Source organism: Homo sapiens, chromosome 1 (assembly GCF_000001405.40).
Source record: "Homo sapiens chromosome 1, GRCh38.p14 Primary Assembly".
Classification (NCBI taxonomy): Eukaryota; Metazoa; Chordata; class Mammalia; order Primates; family Hominidae; genus Homo; species Homo sapiens.
In genome coordinates this window covers 154,515,169-154,542,007 of record NC_000001.11, presented here as the reverse complement: position 1 = coordinate 154,542,007, position 26,839 = coordinate 154,515,169, and the positions used below count along the sequence as shown (strand labels likewise).

At 47.3% G+C, this 26,839-nt stretch overlaps 1 protein-coding gene across 17 annotated transcripts in view; it reads right to left on the bottom strand.

Moving 5' to 3' along the window:
- The window catches only part of TDRD10 (tudor domain containing 10), a 45,929-nt gene that overhangs the window by 6,140 nt on the left and 12,950 nt on the right, over positions 1-26,839 (bottom strand). For 8 of the 17 annotated variants that reach the window (XM_011509152.3, XM_011509153.3, XM_011509155.3 and 5 more), the window contains 2 exons: positions 21,634-21,704; positions 20,529-20,685 (listed from right to left, as the gene is read on the bottom strand). In XM_011509152.3, coding sequence (XP_011507454.1) covers positions 20,529-20,685; positions 21,634-21,704 — 228 coding nt within the window. Of the gene's footprint in view, positions 1-15; positions 159-899; positions 1,018-1,775; positions 2,017-2,042; positions 2,240-7,403; positions 7,531-8,773; positions 8,958-8,994; positions 9,171-20,528; positions 20,686-21,633; positions 21,705-26,839 lie in introns of those variants that run through there. The other 9 variants (XR_007076385.1, XR_007076384.1, XM_047444646.1 and 6 more) reach the window with 9 other exon arrangements.

Sequence of the window (26,839 nt, the reverse complement as noted above, 5' to 3'; positions counted from 1 at the left end):
AAGGTCTCACTCAGCCATGGTGGCATTTGTTTTATTGATTTCTATGTTGAATCACTCCAGGTAGACTGGGAGACAGAGCATCGGCAGCCCCTGTTCTGACTCCGACTTTAGAGCTGACTTTTGAGACATCCGTCCACTCTCTCCATCCTCACGGCATCCTGAGCCAACCCAAAGAAAAGACGATCAGAAGCAGGGAAGGCAGGGAGCAGGGCTGCTGCCAGGGAGCACTCATCTGGAGCTACAGTCACAGAATGAGCTGCCCAGCAGCCTTCCCCAGACAGGGGCAGAAAGCACCACCAGAACGCTTATCCTGGTGCCCTGCTGGCACTACCTGCAGGGAGGAAAAGAAGTAGTAGCGGTCACCTGGTGCAGGGCTGGGTGGGGACAGAAAAGCCTGGGTGCCCTGCCACTCCCCACAGCCCTGCAGCCCCCAACCCATGCTGGTCTCCCTCTCTCCACTGTTCTCACCTGAAAAACCCCCAACCCTGGGGAAACCCAAGTATCTATCCCCCTTCCCACTGCCCTGCATCCAGGCCTTTCCATCCTACCACCACCACCCACGCACCTTGACTTTCCTTCTCTCCAAAGGACCTCACGTCCTCTCCTTTCTTCAAAACGCCCACAACCCCTGCCCATTAACTTGCCTCTTCATCAGAGGGCAAACAGGAAGCAATGAGACAGGACTCCCTCTTCTCCCAACCCCCACCACCAACCCCTCTCCCGCTCCTGCCCTCCCCGCCATCCCTCCCCTGCATGGACCTGCTCCCTCCCGCTCTGGCTCAAGCCCTCACCCTGCAGACCCACCCTGCTGCTCCTCCAGCACTGTCTCCCTCCCGTGTGAGCCTTTTCCACAGGAAACAAGCAGGCTCTGACACCCATTTGGAAAGACTCTGACTGACCTCACAGCTCCCCCAATTCCTGCTTCTGTGCTCCTCTCACTGCAACTCCACAGTTTCACGGTCTCTGTGCTGTTTACCTCCACACTCACATCTCCTCTCAGGCTTCCCCAAAATGGCCCTGCAAAAGTCAGCATGAACAGTCACACTGCCAAATCCAATGGTCACTCCCCTGTTCTGAATCCACCTGCAGTATTCCCTCTGCTCCCTCTTTGCAGAAACGCATCTCTTGGCATCACATGTATCTGGTTCTCCTTCTCTTTCCCTGGCTGGCCTTCTCAGTTCAACTGCTCAACACTGGCACATCCCAGGACTTGTCCTCTCCCCATCCACCTTCTCTCCAAGGCCATCTCCAGTGCAACGGTTTTAGGTATCAACAATGTACCACGGACTCTCAAAGCTGCAGCCCCAGCCCTCATCATTCTCTGGAATTCCACTCACATGTGATGTCCACTTGACAGGACAGTGAAGAGGTACACAGACTTAGCATGTCTGCAACAGACCCGCCCAAGGAGCCTGCAATCATGAACAAATAAAGCAGACCCTCCCCAGCCTAGCTTTCTCCATTTGAGTGAACGGCATTTTTTTTTTTTTTTTTTTTTTTGTAGAGATGGGGTTTCACCATGTTGCCCAGGCTGGTCTTGAACTCCTGGGCTCAAGCAATCCGCCTCCCTCAGCCTTCCAGAGTGCTGGGATTCCAGGCATGAGCCACTGTGCTCAGCCTACCGCATCACTACCTACAGAGCAGTTCACCCAAGTTCTCTCTCCCAAGCTCCCTACGTCAAATTCATCAGCAAGCCAAGCTACCTCCTCCTCCAAGACACACCCGAGCCCATGAACATTTTTCTCTGTGTCCATACCCACCACCCCAGTACTCACCATCTCTTACCAGAATAACAGTGACAGCAAACAGGGAGCCCTGCTGTGGCACCTGCCCCCACAATCCAATCACCTGAGGACTGTGATCTTTTTCAAACAAAAAGTAGATCACATGACATCACTGGTTAAAATCTTCCAACATCTCCCCATCGTGCTTACAAATAAAACCCAAAGTCTTGACCTTGGCTCTCAAGGCTGTACCAATGGATGCCCCTTCCCAGTGACCTCTCTGCCTACTCCCCTCCCCTTCACCCACCAGGCTCATACCTTGGGCCACTTGCAGGCCTCCCTCTGCCTGGAATGTTCTTAGTCTGGTCTTCCAAGTGGCTGGCTCTGAGCTGGCATTGGGGGCCCCCCTAAGAACCATCTAAAGAAGTGACCTCTCACTCTTCATCACATCATCATATTTTAGTTCTCCGGCTGCTACTCATTATCTGGTATTTTCTTGTTTGTCTCTTTTACCACTGGAATGTAAACATCACAAGAACAAGAATGACAAGTGTCTTTCAACAATTACCTTGATCGTGGAGGTAACACCAGGGCCTAGGAAATGCCTGGTGCATATTAAGCTCTCAGTAAATATGTGCTGAATGAAAGAATCAAATAAGAAATGACCTAGGGGCTGGGTACTGCGGCTCACGCCTGTAATCCCAGCACTTTGGGAGGCCTAGGTGGGCAGATCACATGAGGCCAGGAGTTCAAGACCAGCCTGACCAGCCTGGCTAACATGGAAAAACTCTGTCTCTACTAAAAATACAAAAAATTAGCTGGCCGTGGTGGCGGGTGCCTGTAATCCAAGCTACTAGGGAGGCTGAGACAGGAGGATTGCTTGAACCCGGGGAGGCGGAGGTTGCAGTGAGCCGAGATTGTGCCATTGCACTCCAGCCTGGGTGACAAAGTGAGACTCTGTTTAAAAAAAAGAAAAAAGAAAAGAGAGACAAGAAAGAAAGAAATGACCTAGGGCAAATTCTTCACTCTCTAAATCTTGGTTTCCTCTTCTACACCAGGAATCCCACCTGTCTTGATGTGAGGATTTAGTTGGGCTCAGGACAATGACATGCAGTTGGTACTAAGAAACAGAAGCAGCACAACACAGCAGTTACAAGTGCGGATTCAAGAGTCAGGCTGTCTGGACCCCAATCCTGGTTGGGAGATTGGCTGCTTAAGTCTGGGTGAGTTACTTGGTGTTCACATCTGCAGAACAGGAGAGTTAACAGCACCTACTGCTGTAATTAAATGAGTTCATACGGTAAAACAATTAGAGAGTGAGTCCTCAGTGCAAGTTAACTACTGCTGTCAATCAATGAGACCCAAATTGAACCTTTCCTCGCTAAACCAACCACGTTCTGCCTCTCTTCTTTACCCATAACAAAGCACCGTGAGATGGAGTCTCGCTCCGTCACCCAGGCTGGAGTGCAGTGATGCAATCTAGGCTCACTGCAAGCTCTGCCTCCCAGGTTCATACCATTCTCCTGCCTCAGCCTCCCGAGTAGCTCAGACTACAGGTGCCCACCACTATACCCGGCTAATTTTTTGTATTTTTAGTAGAGATGGGGTTTCACCGTGTTAGTCAGGATGGTCTCCATCTCCTGACCTCATGATCCGCCCGCCTCAGCCTCCCAAAGTGCTGGGATTACAGGCATGAGCCACCGCGCCTGGCCTTTTTTTTTTTTTTTTTTTTTGAGATAGAGTTTCGCTCTTGTTGCCCAGGCTGGAGTGCAATGGCATGATCTCGGCTCACCGCAACCTCTACCTCCCAGGTTCAAGCGATTCTCCTATCTCAGCCTCCTGAGTAGCTGGGATTACAGGCATGCGCCACCATACCCAGCTAATTTTTTGTGTATTTAGTAGAGACCGGGTTTCCCCTTGGTTGTCAGGCTGATCTCGAACTCCTGACCTCAGGTGATCCGCCCACCTCGGCCTCCCAAAGTGCTGGGATTACAGGCGTGAGCCACGGTGCCTGGCCTCTCCTAAGGCAGTTCTAAATACCAACCCCACAAACCAATTATCACTAGTGGTTTCAAGCTAAAAATGATTATTAATACAGAAGCATTTCACATCATTTTTGGTCTAATTATTATTCCCTAATGATTTAAGTGATAAATATAACAAGCCCGTTTTGACAGTTTGTAAAATTAAGTTCCAGAGGAAAATCTACATAATTATCATCCAACAGCCACAGCAGGCACATCACCTAAACACAGACCTCCAATTTCCGACGTGTCTGTAATACAAAGGTGGCCACACGGAAGCCACAGACATCAAGGCAGCACCTCAATAGCTGCAAGAGCAGTTAATTTTAATTAAGTTCCATTGTTGCTACAAGCATGGTCACCCTCATGCCCAGATCAATCAACAGCTCTTAATTATCCCTTTACTTTGTTCTGGGACATTTCTACCAGGTGGTCAAGTGTTCTAAGAGGTGCGCCTGCTCCAGAGTGATGCTGGGGAGTCCGTGCAGTGGGAGAGGAGAAACAAAAATACAAAGGTTGGTGGCCAGAAGGCTTGGAGGTGGGACCATCCATCCAGTCCCCTCCACACACCAGGGAGAAGTTCTTGCATACACTCAGCAGGGTACAGCCTCATGACACCCAGAACACAGGCAGTGTCCCAACCTGCAGCCTCCAAGTCTGCTCGCTGCCACAACCCTGGGCCATCTCTCTTTAAGCGCTGTCTACACCCACCCTCACCTCCACCAACCTGGGGAACTGCACCTGGGAACACCTGAGGGGCCCATCCTGGTGGAAATTTTGCATGTGCAGCTTCAACCTCAACTGCTTCCTTCTCATTCTTTAATCACTTGCACTTCTATGTGCTAGACACAAAAAGACAAAGATGAAAGACAAAGACCTCTGCGTGGGCTCCTCAGGGAGCCCCCCTTTAGTCACCCACAAATATAAAACGCCACCACAAAGCTCACGTTCTGGTGGGGGCAGCAGACACTAAATAAGTATACAAAGAGGAATAATGTCTTTGGCTGGCAGCAAGAGGGATGAAGAGACAAACGTCAGAGACAGGGGATGAAGGGTGCCAGGGGTGGGTGCTGTCTCATGGAAAGTCCTCCTGAGGTGGTGACTGCTGAGTGGAGCCCGGAATGAAGGGAGACAGCAAACCCTATAGACACCTGGGAGAAGAGCCTTCTGGGCTGACAATAGTAGGTCCAGAGGCCCTAAGGTGGGGATGTACTTGGCTTGTCTGGGGGGCCGCCCCAGGGCTGGTGTGACAAGATATTTTCATCTCTTCCCCGGACTGCCAGAAACAGGTCTTCCTGCCTCCATTCTGGCCTCCTCCAGTGGGTTCTAAAGGGTCCCTTTAAAAGTTAAATCTAGGTGCAAGGACGAATAAATGGTGGCACATGATACAACAGAATATCACTTGGCAATAAAAAAAGAACTGCTGATGGTGCAACCACATGGATGCATCTCAATAACATTCCACTGAATGAAAGAAGCCAGACACAAAGAAGCACGCACAGCCTGATGCCATTTACAGGACACGCTGGAAAAGCTCCATCTCATCGAAAGGATGGACAACAGCTGAGGGCTGCTGGGGGCCCTGAAGGGGGAATCTTTTGGGCGACTGAAATGTTCTCTATCTTGATTGTGACAGTGGTTACATGCTGCACGCACTGGTCAAAATTCGTCAAGCTGTACACTTAAATGGGTTCACTTTAAGTAAATTATACTTCAGTAAGTATATCGAATACTTCAACAAAGTTGATTTTCTAAAATATAAGAATGGGTTCTATCTGGCTATGTCACCCCCTGCTCAAAGCCTCCAGTGTTCTCATTATTATGTGACTGCAAATCCTATTGAATCAAGTTATGTGTTATTTTTATTCTTAAGCAACTTTGTTAAGATGGAGTTTCGCTCTTGTTGTCCAGGCTGGAGTGCAACGGCACAATCTCAGCTCACCGCAACCTCTGCCTCCCAAGTTCAAGCAAATCTCCTGCCTCACCCTCCTGAGTAGCTAGGATTACAGGCATGTGCCACCACGCCCAGCTAATTTTTGTATTTTTAGTAGAGACGGGGTTTCACCATGTTGGCCAGGCTGGTCTCGAACACCTGACCTCATGATCCACCCACCTCGGCCTCCCAAAGTGCTGGGATTACAGGCGTGAGCCACTGCGCCCGGCCTGCAACCTTTTCTTAGGAATTAACTGCTGCTTTTTCCCCAGTCCATTTACTTGGATTTCCTTGAATCTTTGGCTAAGTTTTCCTATAACCTCCAGTGGCTCTTCATAATACCGCTCCTCTCAATTTTACATTTTTCTTCCTGCCAACGTCACCGCTGGAGTCTCACCCCGTCCTGCTCTGCCCTGGACTGCCTGCTGCACAGCAACTGTTCCAGGACTGCCTTTGGCCAATCTGGGAAGCCTCTCATCTCTCTCCTCTTGGATCTGGGTTGGATACCAGATCCCGTCTTGTTTTGGCTTACTGATTCATTTTTGTTGGAACACACTCCTTCATAGCTTTCTGAGAACAGGTACATGGGGCACACATTTTTTGAGACCCTATCTTTCTGAGCAAGTCTTTTTCAACCTTTTTTTAAAAGTGACAGTGTCTTACTTTGTTACCCAGGCTGGAGTGCTGGCACAATCATAGCTCACTGCAACCTCAAACTCCTTCAGGTCAAGTGATCCTCCCATCTCAGCCTCACCAGTAGCTGGGACTACATGTGTGTGCCACCACACCCGGCACATTTTTTGTCGACAGGGTTGCCCAGGATGTTCTCAAACTCCTGGCCTGAAGCAATCCTCCCACCTCAGCTTCCCAAATCCCAAATTCCAAAGCACTGGGATTACAGGTACACACCACTGCAGATGGCTTACCCTTATATTCTCTCTCTCTTTTTTTTTTTTTCTTGAGATGGAGTCTCACTCTGATGCCCAGGCTGGAGTGCAGTGGCATGATCTCAGCTCACTGCAACCTCTGCCTCCCAGGTTCCAGGGATTCTCCTGCCTCAGCCTCCCGAGTAGCTGGAATTACAGGTGTGCACCACCACGCTTGGCTAATTTTTGTATTTTTAATAGAGATGGAGTTTCACCATGTTAGCCAGGCTGGTCTCAAACTCCTGACTTCAAGTGATCCGCCCACCTCGGCCTCCCAAAGTGCTACCCTTATTCTTGACTGACTTGTTTGGGCTTGGATATTATTTTCCTGAAGAATTCAATCACACCACCTGATTCCATATCCTTCAATGTGGATTCTCTTCCTAAAGCTTTATCCCTAGTATTCTAAAATACTTCTGTAAAGTGCCTTCATGTAGGTTTTTATTTTCCCATTCATTATCCTGGGCACTCATTGGCTGCTTTGTATCTGAAAACTCACATCCTTCACCCATGGGAAATTATCTTATATCATTTGATAATCTCTCCCCCACGCTGACCTGAACACTGCCTGGATGCGTGTTGTGCCACGTAAGCTTATCTTCTAATTTTACCTTTTCTTTTCTTTAAAACAATTTCACTACAAAATATTTCAATCAACAAATCCTCTCCCCAAAAAGCAATAACAAATCTTGACAAATTGTCAAAAACAATCACTTCAGGACTCTGGAAATTGACTGAAGCATACAAGAAATTGAAAACATCTATTAAAAAGAAAACAATAACAACAACGACTGACCTTTGTACGAAAACAGTGAGCATCTGGGGCTTCCCCACTCCCCACTCCTTCAGCGGATAGTTCTACCAGGATGGGCAAAGCCATGGAAACCAGGAGCATCAAAGGTGGCTGACTTGATCGGAGCAGGCTATGGAAAACCACCAGGTGTTGTCAGAAACTGCCACCTCGTGGTAAGCAACGGGAAAGTTGCAGCCTGGCTTTTATGCATCTTCACCTACAAAAGGTGCCTATTCCTAGCTCTTGCCCATTTTTCTATTAGGTTGTTTCTTTCTTGCATTGATTTCCAGGCATTTTCATCCTGTTTATTTTTGTTTTTTAAAAAATAGCCTAGATCTTAACCCAGGAACTGGCAAACTTTTTCTGCAAAGGGCCAGATAGTAAATATTTTAGATTTTGGGGGCCTTACTGTCTGTCATGAGTCCACTCTGCTGCTGTAGTGAGGAAGCAGCCACAGGCAATCTGTAAACAAATGGCTGAGGCTGCATGCCAGGAATGTTTCATGGACACAAACTGAATTTCATACAATTTTCATGTGTCATGAAATATTCTTCATTTTTTTTCCCATTTAAAAATACGGCTGGGGGGTCTCACGCCTATAATCCCAGCAGTTTGGGAAGTGGAGACACGAGGATTGCTTGCCAGGAGTTCAAGACCAGCTTGGGCAACATAGTGGGACCCCATCTCTACAAACAATAGAAAATTAAAAAAAAATATATATATATATATATATGGCTGGGCACAGTGGCTGCCCTGCAATCCCAGCACTTTGGGAGGCTAAAGCAGGAGGATTGCTTGAGGCCAAATCAGCTGGGCATGGTGGTACACGCCTGTAGTCCCAGCTACTCACGAGGCTGAGGCAGGACTGCTTGAGCCCAGGAGTTCGAGGCTGCAGTAAGTTCAGATCACACCACTGCACTCCAGTCTGGGCAACAGAGCAAGACCCTGCTCTAAAAATATAAATAAATAAAAACCATTCTTAGAACCTCCACTCTGAGAAGATGAAATATACATACTTCATCTTAGTTTTGTTAAACACAACTAAGAGCCCAGGACATTACATGTAAAACAAACATAAGAAGACTCTGAAAGATGGAGAGAAGGGAACAGGCTGACCAGAGACCTTGGAACCCAGGGTACAACGTGGTGATGACTTCTCTGGGTTTTCCTTTTGCTTTATATATTCCAAACTTAGAATTGAAGAGGCCAGCAACCCAGAAACACCAGTAGGTCCAGAAAAAAAAAAAAAAAAAACCCAACAAAAGCCTGCTCTTTCTAGCCAAAGCACCAGAAGAGACAGGCTAGGAAGACAGAAAGCTTGTAGATAATAACTCCTTTACTCCAGCTAAATGCCACCAACAAGGAGATCCCACCTCCACGCATGCCAACAAAGACAGCATGCAGGGCCCAGACTTCTGCCCTCATGGGGCTGGGATGAGTCGCCCAATACCCCCACCCTGATGGTGTCACAAAGGGCCAAGCAGGCAGCCAGGAATTTCATCCCCTACCCAATAAAGAAACCGGTCTCTCCCTACCACCACCCTGCCTGGGTGTCAATAGAAACCACTTGGGAATCCTGGACTTCCATACCCACCTCACAGAGAGAAAGCCCCCCTCTCTCTCCCTACTGGGGGGGGTGTCAGAAGTGTAGTGGAGAGTCAAGACTTTCCTCAGCGGTAATGAAGCCATCCACGCCAAGATGTCAGTGGAGACCACAAACTAGAACTGGCAGTAACAAGGGGCTCGCTGCCGCCTTAGAGGCTGAGTAGGGAGCCTGACTTCCATCCTCACCTGGCAGCAGCGAGGCAGTACCGTGTTCCCCTGTGGGAGCAGCATCAGAGGAAGCCAGTTAAAACACAAGGTGTATACAAAATCTAGTCTAGCAACGTAACAAGAAAATGTCCAAGTTTCCAGTGAAACTCACTCATCATACCAAGAACCAGGAAAATTTCACATGGAATGAAAAAAATGAGAGGCGACAGCGTGCTGGCAGCCCTCGCAGCCCTCGCTCGCTCTCGGTGCCTCCTCAGCCTCGGCGCCCATTCTGGCCGCGCTTGAGGAGCCCTTCAGCCCGCCGCTGCACCGTGGGAGCCCTTCTCTGGGCTGGCCGAGGCCAGAGCTGGCTCCCTCGGCTTGCAGGCAGGTGTGGAGGGAGAAGCACAGGTGGGAACCAGGGCTGCGCGCGGTGCTTGCAGGACAGCTAGAGTTCTGGGTGGGCGTGGGCTTTGCGGGCCGCACTCAGAGCGGCCCCGGGCAGTGAGGGGCTTAGCACCCAGGCCAGCAGCTGCGGAGGGTGCACCAGGTCCCGCAGCAGTGCTGGCCCACTGGTGCTGCGCTTGATTTCTCACCAGGCCTTAGCTGCCTCCCCGCAGGGCAGGGCTTGGGACCTGCAGCCCGCCATGCCTGAGTCTCCCCACCACCCCGCCATGGGCTCCTGCGCTGCCTGAGCCTCCCCGATGAGCAACGCCCCCTGCTCCACAGCACCTGGTCCTATCAACCACCCAAGGGCTGAGGAGTGTGGGCGCACAGCACCCGCCTGGCAGGCAGCTCCACCTGTGGCCCCGGTGCGAGATCCACTGGGTGAAGCCAGCTGGGTTCCTGAGTCTAGTGGGTACTTGGAGAACCTTTATGACTAGCTAAGGGATTGTAAATACACCAATCAGCGCTCTGTGTCTAGCTCAGGGTTTGTGAATACACCAATCGACACTCTGTATCTAGCTAATCTAGTGGTGAGGTGGAGAACTTGTGTGTCTAGCTCAGGGATTGTAAACGCACCAATCAGCACCCTGTCAAAACAGACCAATCAGCTCTCTGTAAAATGGACCAATCAGCAGGATGTGGGTGGGGCCAGATAAGGGAATAAAAGCAGGCTGCCCGAGCCAGCAGTGGCAACCCACTCGGGTCCCCTTACGCACTGTGGAAGCTTTGTTCTTTCGCTCTTTGCAATAAATCTTGGTGCTGCTCACTCTTCGGGTCCACACTGCCTTTATGAGCTGTAACACTCACCCCGAAGGTCTGAAGCTTCACTCCTGAAGCCAGCGAGACCGCGAACCCACTGGGAGGAATGAACAACTCCAGATGTGCCGCCTTAAAAGCTGTAACACTCACTGCGAAGGTCTGCAGCTTCACTCGTGAGCCAGCGAGACCACGAACCCACCAGAAGTAAGAAACTCTGAACACATCCGAACATCAGAAGGAACAAACTCTGGACATGCTGCCTTTAAGAACTGTAATACTTACCGCAAGGGTCCGCGGCTTCATTCTTGAAGTCAGTGAGACCAAGAACCCACCAATTCCAGACACAAAAAGACAATACCTGCCAATGCCAAGACGACACTGGTGCTGGCACTACCTGACAAACATTTTAAAGCAGCCACGACAAAATGCTTCAAGGAGCAATGACAAGCACCCTTAAAACAAATGAACCAAGTCTCAGCCAAAAACAGTATTTAAAAATGGAAATTTTAGGCCAGGCGTGGTGGCTCACACCTGTAATCCTAGCACTTTGGGAGGCTGAGGCAGGCGGATCACTTGAGGTCAGGAGTTCAAAACCAGCCTGGCCAACATGGTGAAACCCCATCTCTACTAAAAATACAAAAAAATTAGTTGGGCGTGGTGGCAGGTCCCTGTAATCCCAGCTACTTGGGAGGCAGAGGCAGGAGAACCGCTTGAGCCAAGACCGTGCCAATGCACTCCAGCCTGGGTGACAGAGTGAGACTCGTCTCAAAAAAAAAAAAAAAATTTAAACTGAAAAATACCATAACCAAAATAAAAAGCTCAGTGGGTAAACTCTACAACAGACTGGAGGCCCAGAAGAAAGAACCGGTGACTGGAAGGCACAGCAATAAAAATTATGCAGTCTGAGCAACAGAAAGACAGTAGACCGAGAAAACCTAGATTCAAACAGGCAAGTGAACCCACAACAGTAAAAATACAAAGAAATGCCAAGACATATCACAATTAAACTCTGAAAACTAAAAACCAAGCAAAAATCTTGAATGCAGAGAAAAACCATTTGAATGACAACAGATTTTTCATCAGAAACCATGGAGGCTCAGCTCGGTAATCTCAGCACTGTGGGAGGCTGAGGCAGGTGAATCACTTAAGTCCAGGGGTTCAAGACCAGCCTGAGCAACATGGTGAAACCCCACCTCTGTTTCAAAAGAAAAAAAAAATTTAATGAAAAAAACTTAAAAAAAAAAAAAAAAAGAAGGAAACCATGGAAGCCAGAAGAAAGTGGTACAATTATGTTTCCAGTGTTGAAAAAAAAAACTGTTTATCTAATGAAAATGTTTTTAGGCCAGACACTTCATGCCTCTAATCCCAGCACTCTGGGAGACCGAGGCGGGCAGATCACCTGAGGTCAGGAGTTCAAGACCAGCCTGGCCAACACGGTGAAACCCTCTCTCTACGAAAAATACAAAAATTAGCCGGGCATGGTGGTAGGTGCCTGTAATTCCAGCTCCTCGGGAGGCTGAGGCAGGAGAATCACTTGAACCCGGGAGGCGGAGGTTGCAGTGAGCCAAGATCGTGTCATTGCACTCCAACCAGCCTGGGCAACAAGAGCGAAGACTCTGTCTCAGAAAAAAAAAGAAAAGAAAAAAATATTCTTTAGGAATGAAGGGGAAATTAAGACATTCTCAGATGAAGGAAAAGAATTTGTTACTAGCAGACCTACCCTAAGAGAACAGCCAAAGGAAGTTCTCTAAACAGTAAAGAAATGATAAAAGGTAGAACTTTGGGACATTACAAAGTAAGAAAGAAGCTGGGCGCAGTAGCTCACACCTGTAATCCCGGCACTTTGGGAGGCCAAGACAGGCGGATCACCTGAGGTCAGGAGTTCAAGACCAGCCTGGCCAACATAGTGAAACCCCGTATCTACTAAAAATACAAAAATTAGCCGGTGTGGTGGTGGGCGCCTATAATCTCAGCTACTTGGGAGGCTGAGGCAGGAGAATCACTTGAACCTGGGAGGCGGAGGTTGCAGTGAGCTGAGACCATGCCATTGCACTTCAGCCTGGTCAACAGGAACAAAACTCCGTCTCAAAAAAAAAAAAAAAATGAACACAGAAAAAATATGGGTAAATATTAGGTTGGTGCAAAAATTATTGCGGTTTCTGCTATTACTTTTAATGGCAAAAACCACACTTTTGCACCAACCAATACAATACATCTTCCATCTCCTCTTGAGTTTTCGATGTTATATTTGACAGTTGAAGCAAAAATTATAATGTTTTCCAGCCAGGCATGGTGGCTCACTAATCCCAGCACTTTGGGAGGCTGAGATGGGTGGATCACCTGAGGTCAGGAGTTTGAGACCTGCCTGGCCAACATGGCGAGGTCTCTACTAAAAATACAAAAGTAGCTGGGTGTGGTGGCACATGCCTGTAATCCCAGCTACTTGGGAGGCTGAGGCAGGAGAATTGCTTGAACCTGGAAGGTGGAGGTTGCAGCGAGCTGAGATTGTGCCACTGCACTCCAGCCTGGGTAACAAGAGCAAAACTCCGTCTCAAAAAAAAAACAACATTATAATTCTTTCCAACTTGGATCTAAATGTATATAGAGTAAATACTTAATTTCAAATACAACTGCATTATTAACAGGGAAAGGTAAAGGGAAGTAAATAGATGTACTCAAACTGATAAAACCAACAAGAGTAGGCTATAAGTTATGTGTATATAATGTAATAATGTAACATCTAGCACAACTATTTAAAAAGGTATACAAAGAGATGCACTTAACACTGTAAATAAAAATGGAATTCTATTTATCTTTATTATTACTTTTTTTTTGAGACAGAGTCTTACTCTGTAGCCCAAGCTGACCTGCAGTGGTGCAATCTCAGCTCACTGCAACCTCTGCCTCCCGGGTTCAAGTGAGTCTCCTGCCTCAGCTTCCCGAGTAGCTGGGATTACAGGCATGCACCACCACACCAGGCTAATTTTTGTTTTAGTAGAGACAGGGTTTCACCATGTTGGCCAGGCTGGTCTCCGCCTGCCTCAGCCTCCCAAAGTGCTGGGATTACAGGCGTGAGCCATTGTCCCTGGTCTATTTATTATTTTTATGTTAAAAAAATTTTTTTTGGCAGGGTGCAGCATCTCACACCTGTAATCCTGCACTTTGGGAGGCTGAGGTGGGCGGATCACCTGAGGTCAGGAGTTCTAGACCAGCCTGATCAACATGGCGAGACCCCGTCTCTAGTAAAAACACAAAAAAATTTGCTGCGCGTGGTGGTGCACGCCTGTAGTCCCAGCTACTAGGGAGGCTGAGGAAGGAGAATCTCGAACCCAGGAGGCAGAGGTTGTCCAGTGAATGAAGATCACGCCACTGCACTCCCAGCCTGGGCAACAGAGCAAGACTCCATCTCAAAAAAAAATTTTTTTTTTTTTTTTTAAGAGACGAGGTTTCCCTATGTTGACCAGGTTGTTCTCGAACTTCTGGCCTCACCTTGGCCTCCCAAAGTGCTGGGATTACAGGCATGAAGCCACTGCACTCAGCCAAGAAATGGAATTCTAAAAAATGTTCAAGTAAGCCTCAGGAAAACAAAGAAACAAAAACTATAGAACAAACAAAAGACAAAAAGTAAAATGTTCTGTATCTGGACTGGGTCAATGTTACTATCCTGGTTGTGATAGTTTTTGTAAGATGTTACCACTGGGGAGAAACTGGATAAAGAGTATACCAGATCTTTCTGTATTGTTGTTACAATTGTATGTGAATCTGCTATTAATCTCAAAATAAAAAGTGTAATTAAAAAAAACATTTTTAGCTTGCCAGCAGTATAAAAATGGGCAGTAGGCCATATTTGAATCACTGGCCAAAGTCTATGACACCTTTCCTGATCCTTTGTTAGTTATATTATTGCAAATATCTTCTCCCAGTTCTTGGCTTGAATTTATCTTTCTTTATACATCAACTTTCAAAGAGGTGGTCTTTATTTTAACTTATCCATCTTTTTTTTTCACCTGATGCTTTATGCCTTGACAAATCTCATTCTATCTGAGATCATATCCAGTAGGACATCTGATAAGATCATCCTCACTGAGATCGTAAAGATATTCTGCTACATTTCTTCTAAAAGTTTTTAAGTTTTGCCTTTCACTGCCAAGTTTATAATCCACCTAGTATTTTTGTGCGTGGGATAAGGTAGGGATACAGTTTCACAGTTTTCTACATGAATAAGCAATTGTCCCAGTTCAATTTACTGAAGTGTGTATCCTTTCCCCAGAGATCTACCACTCTACCTGAATAATAGTTTCTGTGTACGAATGAGCCTCTTTTTGAGTTCTCGATTATATTTTATTGGTCAAACTGTCTGGCCTTAAGCCAATACAATTGGTCTTCCGTATCTGTGGTTTCTGCATCCACAGACTCAACAAATATTTAAAAAAATTCAGGGCCAGGCGCAGTGGCTCATGCCTGTAATCCCAGCACTTTGGGAGGCAGAGGCAGGCGGATCACCTAAGGTCAGGTGTTCTAGACCAGCCTGCCCAACATGGCGAAATCCTGTCCATGCTAAAAATACAAAAACTAGGCGGGCGTGGTGGCAGGTGCCTGTAATCCCAGCTACTTGGGAGGCTGAGGCAGGGAGAATTGCTTGAACCCAGAAGGCGGAGGTTGCAGTTAGCCAAGACTGTGCCACTGCACTCCAGCCTGGGTGACAAGAGCGAGACTCTGTCTAAAAAATAATTAATAATAAAAAAATAAAAAAAAAATTCAGGCCAGGTGCGGTGGCTCACGCCTGTAATCCCAGCACTTTGGGAGGCCGAGGTGGGTAATTACTTGAGGTCAGGAGTTGCAGACCAGCCTGGCCAACATGGTGAAACCCCATCCATACCAAAAAATACAAAAATTAGGCCAGGCGCAGTGGCTCACACCTGTAATCCCAGCACTTTGGGAGACCAAGAAGGGCAGATCACAAGGTCAGGAGTTTGAGATCAGCCTGGCCGACATGGTGAAACCCTGTCTCTACAAAAATACAAAAATTAGCTGGGCGTGGTGGCGTGTGGCTGTAATCCCAGCTGCTCGAGAGACTGAGGCAGGAGAATCGTTTGAACCCAGGAGGCAGAGGTTGCAGTAAGCTCTCATTTGAACCCAGGAGGCAGAGGTTGCAGTAAGCTCAGATCGCGCCTCTGCACTCCAGCCACGTGACAGAGCAAGACTTTGTCTCAAAAAAAAAAAAAAAAAAAATCTGTGAAAGTTGTTTTGGGTTTTGTTTGCTTGTTTGTTTTTAGAGAAAGGGTCTCACTCTGTTGCCCAGGCTGGAGTGAAGTGGCATTATCATAACTCACTACACCTCCCAGGCTCCAGTGATCCTACCACCTCAGCCTGCCAAAGTGCCTGTAGGCCTGGCTAGATTTTTTTTTTATTTCAATAATGTCAAGTTTCTTTTTTTTTTTTTTTTGAGATGAAGTCTCACTCTGTCACCAGGCCAGAGTGCAGTGGCACAATCTTGGCTCACTGCAACCTCCACCTCCCAGGTTCAAGCAATTTTCCTGCCTCAGCCTCCCGAGTAGCTGGGACTACAGGTGCACGCCACCACGCCTGGCTAATTTTTGTATTTTTTTTATTAGAGATGGGGTTTCACCATATTGGCCAGGGTGGTCTCAAACTCCTGACCTTGTGATCCACCTGCCTCAGCCTCCCAAAGTGCTAGGATTACCGGCGTGAGCCACCACGCCCAGCCTCTTTTTTTTTTTTTTTTTTTTTTTTGAGACGGAATCTTGCTCTGTTGCCCAGGCTGGAGTGCAGTGGCACAATCTCAGCTCACTGTAACCTCCGCCTCCGGGGTTCAAGCAATTCTCCCTGCCTCAGCCTCCCAAGTAGCTGGGATTACAGGCACCCACCACCATGCCCAGCTAATTTTTGTATTTTTTAGTAGAGATGGGGTTTCGCCATGTTGGCTAGGCTGGTCTTGAACTCCTGACCTCAGATTATCTGCCCACCTTGGCCTTCTAAAGAGCTGGGATTACAGGTGTTAGCCACCGTGCCTGGCCATTAATGTCTACTTCCTATTTGGATTTTAAAATGTTGTTACCTACTTCTTCAATCAACTCTTAGCTCATTAATATTCAACCTTTCTTCTTTGCTCATCTAAGATTGGATGAACCTCTAAATATTGCCTTCACTATATCCCAAAACTTTTCAGGGGTAGTATTTTCCTCATTATTCAGTTCTAAGTGTTTTTAAGTTTCTTTATAAATTCTTCTTTGACCCATGTGTTGTTTACATAGGAATGCTTTTAAATGTCCACATTTATGGGGATTTTATGTTCAGCTTTTGTGTACTTATTTCTAATTTAAAAGCAGTGGGAATACTGGGAAATCATCTTTATCCCAAGAGAAAAAAAGGTGAGAGCCATGATTCTCTTTCCCAGTATCTGGTTCTGGCATGACACAACTTAACTCTCACCCCAAACAACTCTAAAACTAGACAAAATACAGGAACTCACCATTTCCAGCACAGGACTAATGAGAGTGAATGGCAGAGGGCTGTTTCCTGAGCAAAGGAAAGCATGTGAGCACCACATTCACCCTGACCTTCTGCCTGGGGGCATTTTCCCAAACCACAGCAAAGGGAAACAGAGCCCAAGCAGAAAGTGGCAGTCTCATTGGGCAGCAACAGAGTTTAGGTGACAGGAATTTGGGGACAGAGGACCAGAGAGGAAGGAGCCACACAGAAGTCCAAGGAATCTAGGTGTCTGCCTCAGGTCCTTGGTTGAGGCCTAAGCTGTCCGTGGTGTGGGACAAGTACCGGGAGGCCTTAAAGAGAACAGTCGCTGTGAAGGTGGGGGAGAGGGCTCTGAGAGAGACACAGATGCCAGAGGTCTCACAGTGCTGGAGACAATGGAGTTCCAACCCAGCAAGGGGGACAGACCTTGGCAAGCACCCGGAGCACTCACCTGAGACCCTACAAAAGCCAAGTCTTAGGAAAAATGGTGTTACCCAAGAAAAAGACTCACAATGGAACATTCCAATCCTAACTATGACACACACACAAAAACCCTTAATAGGATAAAAGATCTGCTAGTAATTTAATCTTTGCTAGAAAAATTTCAACACCATTTAGAGGACAGTAATAGAAGTCTCCATGATATAGCATCCATAATATCCAACATACAATAAAAAATTACTATAGGCTGGGTGCAGTGGCTCAGCTCATGGCTATAATCCCAGCACTTTGAGAGGCCAAGGTGGGCAGATCACTTAAGCCCAGGAGTTCGAGACCAGCCTGGGCAACATGGCGAAACCCCATTTCTACAAAAAATACAAAAATTAGTCAGGCATAGTGGTGCATGCCTGTAGTCCCAGCTACTAGGGAGGCTAAGGTGGGAGGATGGCTTGAGCCCAAGAGGTGGAGGTTGCAGTGAGCTATGACTGAGCCACTGCACTCCAGCCTGGGTAACAAAGCAACACCCTGTCTCAGGAAAAAACAGAAAACTATTTGTAAAGGGGCCTGAAAATTTTACCCATAATCAAGGGATAAATGTCAACAGAAGCAGATCCACAAATGACTCAAATGTTGGAATTAGCAGAAAATGATTTTATAATAACTATTATAAAAATGTTAATCTTAAAAAAGAGACAAAATAGGTGAAAAGATGAAAAAGTCCAGCAGAGAAATGGGAAAAAAGAATAAAATGGAAGTTGAAAAATATCTAAAATAGAACATTCATTAGATGGGCTTAAGAGCAGATTGGACATAGGAGGAGAAAAGATCAGAGAATTCCAAAACAGGTCAGTTTGGAAGAGTGGGAAAGCCTGTGACCATGCACATATACTGAGACCAGTTAGCAAGGTTGTGTGAATGTCTTCAGGGGCTCAGAGGGTGAGTTCAGAACAGGCAGAGGGCTGGGTCCAACTAGGATTAGTGTTCTGCAAGCTATAACCTAGTGAGAAAAGGGCAATGGAGTTAAAGATGTTTGAACTAAGGTAGTTATTGACTATAGAATCTAGGCTAAGAGGGAAATGAGAGAACAAAGAGAATATTGAATAATGAAGAAATGGTGGGGTCAGCAGACTTTGTGTGCCTACGTGAGCCAATGCATCAACTGTTGGACTGAGGCTGTAGAGCCTTGCTACTAAAATGTGGTCCCAGGGCCAGGAGCATCAGCACCACCTGAAGCTTGTGCTAATTCCCAGGCCCTACCCTACATGTACTGAGTCAGAATCGCTGGGGCTAGGGCTCAGAAAACTGTGTTCACAAACCCTTTTGTTGATTCTGATGCTTGTTAAAGCTTGAGAACCATTCTTCCAGAGTAAGAGAGCTGCAAAGACTGGGGGACAGCGCAGAGTGGGATGCTTGAAATGGTTACAGCAATCACAAGGTCTGAAATACAGCTAGGGGGATGAGAAACTGTGACCAAGTGGAAGAAAAAATCATTAGGAAGACACAACAATCCAGGTGGGGTGCAGTGGCTCATGCCTGTAATCCCAGCACTTTGGGAGGCTGAGGTGGACGGATCATTTGAGGTCAGGAGTTCGAGATCAGCCTGGTCAACGTGGTGAAACCCTGTCTCTATCGAAAAAATATAAAAATTAGCCAGGCATGGTGGTTCACACCTGTAGTCCCAGCTGAGGTGGGAGAATCCCTTGAACCCAGGAGGCAGAGGTTGCAGTGAGCTGAGATAACTCCACTGCACTCCAGCCTGGGCAACAGAATGAGACCCTGTCTCAAAAAAAAAAGATACAATGGTCCAGGAAGTAAGTGACTGGACTCTTAGTCGAATCATCCACATGGATGCTAAATTTGCATGATAATAAGACAGAAAGATAATGAGCCAGAAGCTGAAGTTTTCAGTGAAGGGCATAACACAGAGAAGAGCAGACAACTGCTGCCAGGAAGGTTCCTAAGCAGTATAGTCTGACAGTCTGCCCTTTCAAAGAGGGCTTAAGAGAGAAAGGAAGAGAAAGAGTTTGAAATTAGCAAAGGGAGTCACCTCTGACAATCTTTTTTTTTCCTGTTTATAGAGATGGGGTCTTGCTATGTTGGCTAGGTTGGTCTCAAAGTCCTAGCTTTAAGCCATCCTCCTGCCTCGGTCTCCCAAAGCATTGGGATTACAGGTGTGAGCCAGTGCGCCTGGGCCACCTCTGAAAATCTGACTGTAGTCAATAATTCCAACCCATCTCTCGGCTTCCACCTCCAACCTCTCCAGCTTTGTGGCTGACCTTGTTAACTGCCAGCCATATGCATGCTCTGCTTCCTTGCTGACAGAACCCCAAGTTTAGCAACAATGTGTCTATCTTTTAAAACTACATCTCTCAGCATCTGTGCACTTAAGGCCATGAGTTACGGGGACATCCAGTGAAACACAAGCAGAACTGTGGTCAGGGCTTCTGGAAAATGCACCTTTTAAGAGGACACAGGCCCCTTTTGCCCTCTGCTTCTCCCCTTCTTCCTGCCTAGAACCCTGATACCACCATATAGCAACCCTGGACTCCCTACCTCCTGACTTCTATAGGAAAGAAAAACAAATCGCTAACTTGTTTAAGCTACTATTGTTCAGATTTCCTCGTATGTGCAGCCAAGTCGGCTTCTAGCACTAACACTTCAGGCTCTGGAATGGGATCTTTTTCTCCTGGTTCACCTCTGCATACGGAGAATGGGCCCTCCTCCTTTTGAGGGAAGCTCCCAGGGGTTAGTTATGGACCTTATCTTCTCTGCTTGCAGAGGCAGCCTCCACCATTAACTGCCCCCCATACCTCATATTTGGCAACGTTTATCTTCCTGCCAGGAAGAGCTGGATTTTATTGACTTTTGTCTTACACTTCACACCAGCAGCCAGAACAAGGCTGTACAAACAGTAGACACTCAATGTCTGCTACATTAACAATGAAAACCTAAGTTTCAATATTCCAGGTTGAAAAAGCCCTGACTGAATTGCCTAATGGCCCTTTTTATCCTTGCCAAAAATATAGTCTCCTTAATTTACAAATTCCAAGTTTTCCACATCTGACCTTACCTCTGACTGTTAAAGGTCATAAAAGTTCCCTGACTTCACCCGAGACCCTGCCTTCTTCTCCACAGTCAGACTGGACTGGAGGAGGATGAAAGCACTGAAAGCAAAGTCAGCCACGCTCTAAAGGGTGAAAATGGAACGCCCCAGAGCAGAAAGGCCAGAAGACATACCAGCGGGGCCCGAGGCTGCTGGATCATATCAGGGGTCCTCTTGGGGGGCCTTTTGCTTGTATTCACGAACAGTTTTCGCTTGTGGAAGAGTTTACCATTCAGCTCCTGGATTGCAAGTGTCACTTTCTGCATGGAGCCCAGATCTACAAATGCAAAGCTGAAAAGGGAAGAGAGAGAGGGAGGCTTTGAGCACATCTCCAGAGAAGCCCAGAGCTGCAGGGAGGCACCAAGCCCAAGCTGGAAGGCCAGTGTCCTTTCTCTCTGCAGTGATGGAAGATGAACTGTTCACAAGCAAGCTACAAGTATGTCCAGACTTGGGGCTGGGCCAGTGTGAGATACTGTCATGGGCCTCTAAGGAGCAGAAGAAATGAGCTGACTTTCACTATGCATCGTATGTCTATGACTTTGAGTTTAATACTACTGCCCCAAAAGTTCAAAGCAAGCCAGGTGTGGTGGCTCATATCTGCAATCCCAGCACTTTGGGAGGCCAAGACAGGCGGATCGCTTGAGCCCAGGAGTTCCAGACCAGTCTGGGCAACATAGCAAAGCCCCATCTCTACAAACAAATACAAAAATTAGCCGGATGTGGTGGTGTACACCTGTAGTCCCAGCTACTTCGGAGGCTGAGGTGGGAGGATTGCTTAAGCCTAGGAGGTGGAAGTTGCAGTGAGCCGAGACTGCACCACAGCACTCCGGCCTGAGCGACAGAGCAAGACCCTGTCTCAAACAAACAAACGTTCAAAGCACTTTTTACTGCCTTGAAAATAAGAAAGGGAAAATATAAGTAGGTTTGGTTTTCAGGAACAACTAAGGCTTAGGGTGGTATAGTAACTTATCTCAAGTCAGAAAATACAGCAAGGACATGACCAAAAATATACCCAGGTCTCTGGACTTCTAAGCCAGGGTTGTGTTGATAAGACAGTATTCGCTGCTGGGTCACAGGGTTAAATATGGAAAGGGGGTTTCCCAAATGTTCCTTTGCCAAGTCAGAGTGGGTGTGGACGTGGCGGTTGCTGGGCTAGTCTGCAACATGAGTGCATCAGCAAAATGGACAGGGAGGAAAGGAGCTGCTTCCCAAAGAAAACAAAGAAAGAACAGTCATTACCATTTGCAGCCATTCTGGATTTTGTGGACATCAAGAGGGTTGAAGTCCTTTAGAAGGTACAGAATTTCCTCCTACAACAGCAGGGTTTAAAAGAGAGAGACCCAGAGACATAACTTACAACCACTTCTCAAGGTTTCAGATCCCCAGCCAGCTAGTCTGGACTCAATTTAACTCATACTTAATGAGGATCTATTATGTGCTGTACGTGCCATGTTTTGTAGGATAGGCAAGAAAGGCCACAGCCCTGTCTTCAGTGAAGCTCACCAGCCAAGCAGCGATGCAGACAAGACAATTAACTAAACACACCGTTTCATCACTGCACATACAGCTGGCTATGGGCGCACACGGCCTGTCATTTAATCCAGATTTGGAGGGAAAGGAGGTGGTCAGGGTATGCTCCCAGGAAGAAGTGACTTCCACAGCTTTGCGAGTACCTCCTCCTCACTGCTTCTCAACCCTGCCTGGCCTCTGCCCGGGGATATGGTTCCCTTCCTCTTCCCGGAACATTTCCCCACACCCTTCTCCTCTCCTAGTCTGCCCTCAGGCCGTCTTCCTCACCCCATCCCCTCCTCCCCATCCTGCTCCGCGGGCTTGGGTTGGTGTCTCCACAGAGGCACCAACCTCCCCCGCTTTATGATAAGGTCTATGCCACCCTGAGGCCTTTTTGAACTACACCCTATTTTTTCTCTTTTCTGCCAAACTTGTAGAAAGAGCCGTCTCCACCTAATGCCTCCATTTCCTCCCTGCCCACTCCCTCCTGACTGCCTGCGCTAGGCTGGTTCCAGCCCTACTGAAATGCTTTCTTGCAGGTCACAGACATGCACTCGCTGCCCACTGTGATGGCTTCACTTCAGGTTCAGCTCTTTCACCTCCTGCCTGCACCCCTCAATACTTCCTCCTTCCTTGGCTTCCCCACAAGAGTGTTAATGATTATAAAATTTCACAACCATGATGAAAACCAATTTTTCTCTGGAAAACCCTATTTTGGAAAAAAATGATATTTATACCATCTTCCAAAGTCACTTTGTTGGCTTAGGAAAATAGAAATGCATTATGTATAACTCATTTTTCTCAGTCTTCATGTTTATATTATATTTACATGCAAATTTTCTAATTTGCTTTACTCTTAAATATTTAATGTTTATTACACATGAATCTAAAAGATGCTGAACAAGCAATTCGTGAGAACGAGCAATGTGTGCTTAGCATTTTCAGTTTACCAAGCACTTTCATATCCTTTATTCCATTTGGTTTTCACAACCACCCTATAAAGTACACATTATTACTATACTCATTGCACAGAGGCATAAAATAAGGATCAGAGAGGTTAAATGACGTCTCTATGGCTATATAGCCAATTTAGAATTAGGACTTGAACTCCAGACTCTTCAAATCCTACATTTTTTTTCCATTATATTGTGCAAAGCCATAGTTTTCTTCTCAGGTTTTACCATTACTAAAATAAAATAGAAAACTAGTATTTTGGCAGTTATCAGTAAACCATAACCTTGGGCCAAATCCAGTCCACCACCTTTTTTTGTAAATAAAGTTTTATTGGAACACAGCCATGCACATCCATTCACTCATTGTTTACAGCTGCTTTCAGGCTACAGTGGCCTTCAACGCATGAAGTACTTACTATGTGGCTGGGCACAGTGGCTCACCTGCCCGTAATCCCAGCACTTTGGGAGGCTGAGGCAGGCAGATCACGAGGTCAGGAGATAGAGACCATCCTGGCTAACACGGTGAAACCCCGTCTCTACTACAAATACAAAAAAAATTAGCCGGGCGTGGTGGCGGGCACCTGCAGTCCCAGCTACTCAGAAGGCTGAGGCAGGAGAATGGCGTGAACCCGGGAGGTGGAGCTTGCAGTGAACCGAGATCGCACCACTGCACTCCAGCCTGGGTGACAGAGCAAGACTCCGTCTCAAAAAAAAAAAGTTTTGATCAATTATAGATTTGAAAGGAGGCTTGGTACATTAAGCTAAAATTGCCTCGTGCATATCTCATTTTAAATCATAAAAGTAACTTATTAGGATTTTTTAAATTACAAAGACATTGAATGTTTGTTGTAGAATATTTTTAAAAACACAGATAAGCAAACTAGAAGTATTGTCCATAATTCTGCCACCAAAATATGAACACTGCACATCTACTATAAATATCATGAAATCATACTGCACCTTCTGCTTTTAACCTATTTCACTTAAAGACACATCCCTTCCAGTCAATCACCGCCAACCACATGGTTTAAGGGATCGATAGCCTGCTATTAGTTAAGGCATCAGCATTTATGGACCACTGACTTTGTGCCAGACAGGCAGGAGGTTACTGCACTCACCTATGTGCTAAGTAATTTCATGCCCGTCCAACTGGCAGCAATTTAACAGTTGGACAACACCAAACATTCATGATAGAGGAACCCTGTGCTGCTGGTGGGAGTGCAAGTCAGTCCCCTTCCTGGTCCAGCGGTGAGGACCGTGTGGCCCTGATGCCCTGCACCTAAGTACAGGTCCCAGAGGCACTCGCACCTCGCACACCGATATGCGTACAAGCCGGTTCACTGAAGCTCTGCTTGAGGAAGCAAAAACTAGGAAAATATTAGTGTGAGCCATGTGAAATTGATGATTTTGCAGATTAAAAAAATGGTCCAAGCCGGGCGCGGTGGCTCATGCCTGTAATCCTAGCATTTTGGAAGGCTGAGGTGGGCAGATCACCTGAGATCAGGAGTTTGAGACTAGCCTGACCAACATGGTGAAACCCCGTCTCTACTAAAAATACAAAATTAGCCAGGCGTGGTGGCGGATGCCTGTAATCCCAGCTACTTGGGAGGCTGAGGCAGGAGAATCCCTTAAACCCCAGGGGGCAGAGGGTGCAGTGAGCCGAGATCGCACCATTGCGCTCCAGCCTGGGCAACAAGAACGAGACTCCGTCTCAAAAAAAAAAAAAAAAAAGGTCTAATATCAGCTATTTCATAAGGTACAACCTAAGAATTGGAATGTCTATTTGCAGGTAAACACACTGTGGTAGGTTCATACAAAAGAATATTGTAACAGCCAAAATTACTGCCTAGAGCTGCACATGCCAACATGGACATGATCAAAGCAAGCCACAGACAAATATGCAGACAGAAGGTAAGGGATCAACAACCACCTGCCCAGCACCTCAGCTCCCTGATTTCCAGGGCATACCCCAGACATGGTCATTCCCAATGCCTACCCCCAAATGACAGCTTTGAACCCCATGCTCTCTGACCCCCTCCTATGTTTCCCACTCACACCTCTGGTTCTCCAACTACACTCCCCAGTACTGTGACCCTTCAGGCTCCACCACTTTCCACCCTCCTGCAAACTCCTGACTCTGACCCTTTTCTCCTAGCCGTCCTGTCCCACCCGAACCTACAATGTCCTTGCTGTGCCTTTTTTTTTGAGTCAGGGTCTGGCTCTGTTGCTCAGGCTGGAGTGCAGTGGCATGATCTTGGCTCACTACAGCCACTGCCTCCCAGGCTCAAGCCAACCTCCCACCTCAGCCTCCCAAGTAGCTGGGATTACAGGCATGTGCCACCATGGCTGGCTCACTTCTGTATTCTTCGTAGAGATGGGGTTTTGTCATGTTGCCCAGGCTAATCTGAAACTCCTAAGCTCAAGCAATCCACCCACCTGGGCCTCCCAAAGGGCTGGGATGACAGGCGTGAGCTACCGTGCAATGCTCCTGGCCCCTGCTGTGCTCGTTAACCAGCTTAGGTGCCAGGGTCTATCACTGCAATCACTACCTGATGTCCAGTACTTCATGGCATTCCTACTACCTATTCCTCATCATCAGCCCCCCAGTCTCCCAGAAAAAACTACCGCACACACTTTGCACATCCTTTCTATTCAGCAGAGAACCCTGATTTTTACTTCACTGAGAAAAGAGAAGCAACCAAAGGAGAACTTCCATTCTCCCACCACCCCCATATCTGTACTCATCCCCCTATGTGGAAGACTTGTCCCTGCCCCGATCCCTTCCTTCCCACCTTCTCGAAGCCTCTGCCGCTAAATCAGCTCCTCTCTTTCCAGCACCTGTTTCCCTCTCCACTGGATGAGCATACAAACTCGCCATATTAATACTTATTACACATAACGCCTTGGACCCCATACACCCCTCCTGCTACCACTTCATCTTCCTACTCTTCTTTTTGACTAAAATCCTTGAAAAAGTCATCTATGCTATCTTCACTTCCTCTCACTCTTTCATTCAATAGATACTTATTAGGTGCCCACTCTGTGCTAGAAATGTGTTAGGTGCAGAAAGCAGAGCCCTGCTGGGCTCATCTTTTATGGGGAAGAGATCATCACTAAGGGGAGTAAGTAGCAGGTGGCCAGGCACGGTGCCTCATGCCTGTAATCCCAGCACTTCTGGAGGCCGAGGCAGGCAGATCACCTGAGGTCAGGAGTTTGAGATCAGCCTGGCCAACATGGTGAAACCCCGCCTCTACTAAAAAAATACAAAAATTAGCTGGGTGTGGTGACAGGTGCCTGTAATCCCACCTACTTAGGAGGCTGAGGCAGGAGAATCGCTTGAACCCAGGAGGCAGAGGTGGCAGTGAGCAAAGATCATGCCATTGTACTCCAGCCAGGGTGACAAGAGCGAAATTCCATCTCAAAAAATAAAAAAGAGGAGTAAGCAGCAGGTGTGGTGAGTTCGATGGTGGAAAGTATTAAGGAGACACAGAGCAGGAAGGACAGGAAGAATGGGGGCTGCAACTGAGGGAGAAGAGCCGGGGAGGGCCTCTGAGAAGGCCACCTCCGAAGCAGAGCAGTGCCATAGGTGCAAGGCCCTATGGCAGGTTCTGGGCTGAACAAGGAGGCCAGAGAGCCTGCTGTGGAGCAAACAAGGAAGAAGGCAGGAGTGAGGCGGGCACAGGGAGCGGTTCACACAGGGCCGCAAGGGATTCTGCTCTTCCTAAATAAGAAGGGAAGCCACTGGAGGCTTCTGAGTGGAGGGGGGCCAAGACCTGCTTGCCACTTTATGGGATCACTCTGGCTGCTATGTTAAGATTAGACTGCAGGGGAGCAGGGAAGAAGCAAGAAGAGCTGGCTGGGTGCGGTGGCTCATACCTGTAATCCCAGCACTTTGGGAGGCCGAGGCAGGCAGATCACTTGAGCCCAGGAGTTTGAGACCAGCCTGAGCAACATGGCGAAATCCTGTCATAAAAATTAGCCAG